Raw genomic sequence first — 2,724 nt, 5'->3', positions numbered from 1 at the left:
CCTAGAATGAAGTGTTTTCTTTCCTTTGATCTCTGCAGGGTAGTGACTGCTCTACGGGCCTCAATAGCTTCACGTGATGTTGATTTCTGTATCTTGTTGGTTATGGCCAGTGTTTCTTCAGGAATTCCACTTTTAGTTGATTATTCAGTGAAGCTGGTAAATATGATTCCCTGCAGCTCCAGGAAGAAGTAATTTCTGGTTTTTGTTATTTTTGGAAAACTTCTTTGTATGCCTCATTGCTGGTTAAATAGACAAGACTTCTGCTTGCTAGATTTCATGAATTTGGGGCTTTCTAGAAAGCAATACATTATGCTGCTTTAAATATTAAGTGTCCTCAGGATGGGGAACATCACACCCTGGGGCCTGTCGTGGGGTGGGGGGAGGGGGGAGGGATAGCATTAGGAGATATACCTAATGTAAATGAAGAGTTAATGGGTGCAGCACACCAACGTGGCACATGTATACATACGTAACAAACCTGCACGTCGTGCACATGTACTCTAGAACTTATAGTAATAAATAAATAAATATTAAGTGTCTTAAAGAATTACTTTAAACTGATTGCCATGAATAGGATTCACTTTATTTCAGAGTCGAAGAAAGCAGTTCATGTTATAACATGCGGTGTCTGAACGCACAAATCAGGTATTCATCTGATTTTGGCCACTCTAGGACTATAAATAAAACCGTCAGTTCATCAGGTTCCAATTTTCTATCTATAGTCATTCTCAGATTTTTTTTTTTTAATCCTGGGATGTTCTTGGGACAATAAAAAAGATTAGCTAAGAGTGACCAAATCCGCACCCTAAATTTAGTACTATGTTACACTGACTACATACTGTATGAGCTTTAAAGCACTGTAACAACTCACAACAAAAGTTATGTAGTAAATTCTGATATAACCTTGAAGTCTCCACCCTAAGGAGGGAGTGCTGACTTTCAGACACTGAGCCCAAGCAAGTGGCCTTTACACTGGTTTAGTCTGGTTTCTTTCTTGCACGGTCCAGGTTTTGCTAACTTTCCTCAGAGAATCCTGAGCCTGCTTTGCTGGCATGTGTTTCCTTTTGTCCCAGTTTTTGTTACTAGTTACCACAAATTCTTAGGCTTTGTGATATACTTCCCTTATATTCCCTTTTAGCACAGCTCCCATAATGTATCTCTGGAAGGTTAAGTCTGGCAAAACTGGCCTTTACTACTTTACTAATTATATATATATATATGAATGGCCCTCATCTGTTTCCTTGGGGTGGGCTATTTTTCTTTTAAGAAAATGAAGATGATTTCCTCTATGTTTTTTGCAAAAATTCATTATGACGGTAGGAGTGAATATGATCATGGAGATAATGATGTTGATGTTAACAATGACTGCACTTCCTACTACCATGCCATCCTCACAACAACCCCTATAGAGAGATTTTTATATTATTTAATATTTAGTTATAATTTATTCATATAAATTATTTGCAAATATAATAATTTATTGAGAATATTATTTGTATATTCCTTTTACAGACAGGAAAATTGAGGCTAAGAGAAGTTAATTAACTTGCCCAAGATTACATCATTAACACATTTTTGAGCTGGAATTGAAACCCAAGTCCAACTGTCTGTGGAGTCCCAGGTTTTAACCACTAAGATAATAAAAATATAAACATTTACAAATGTAATTTTAAATTAGGAGATCAGATGTGCAAATCTAAAGATTGGGTCATGGACTAATTAGGAATCATAATTGTGTGGAAGTAGCTACCGGCTGGAAAGAACTCTAAGGATTCATTTTGTCCACACCCTGAACCCACTCTCCTCTACTGGGCCATGAATTCTTTTAACGACTACTTAGAATTTTTAAATATTTGTACCATTCAAGGATTTTTATAGTCTTCAAATATCTTTTGTTTTCCATTCTGTTTTTCATAATGAAAAACAAAAACTCAGACCTTAATTTTCATTTAACTAAGTTAAGGTGTATTATCTGAGGTTCCTCAGACAACAGTAAGAGATAATAGACAGGAATTAATGACCCCATTCTTGCATTAGTAGCAAGTAGCATTTTAAACTCTTTGGTTGGTTTCTAGGATGTTGGTTTTACATGTGAAACTTGGATGAATGAGCAATAAAAAGAGAATACTTGAAATGTGTATTTCCTGGCTTCTGTGTTGTCGACATTTGGAATGGTGGTTTATTTCCCACAACCCAATTTTAATATATGTTTTATTCCGTGCATCATTTTGTAAACATAGTAGAGGCCCACCACATGGCAATTTGATTGGCATGGTTGAATCTAGTGCTCGTGTCCTGAGGCTTCTGAGCTAGTGTGGAGGGAGGAGTCCTTTGTAACATGTCTCTGATCAAATTATGCTTTCTCTTTAATTTGTTTACAACTCAACAGCACCTTGGAAGCAGCTAGGTAATTTAGATGGCAGGCATAATTTCATATTTCTTAGGTTTATATTCAGGGCCAACTAAAATAAGGCCTTTATTTCCTCTAATTCATTGTAAAATAAGGAGGTCTTGGGTGGGTGTGGTGGCTCATGCCTGTAATCCCAGCACTTTGGGAGGCTGAGGCGGGTGGATCACGAGGTCAGGAGTTCAAGATCAGCCTGGCCAAGATGTTGAAACCCCATCTCTACTAAAAATATAACAATTAGCCGGGTGTGGTGGGGGGAGCCTGTAATCCCAGCTACTTGGGAGGCTGAGGCAGAGAATTGCTTGAACCCAGGAGGC

This window comes from Homo sapiens, chromosome 3 (assembly GCF_000001405.40).
Source record: "Homo sapiens chromosome 3, GRCh38.p14 Primary Assembly".
NCBI classification, from domain to species: Eukaryota; Metazoa; Chordata; class Mammalia; order Primates; family Hominidae; genus Homo; species Homo sapiens.
This window is presented reverse-complemented; position numbering follows the sequence as displayed.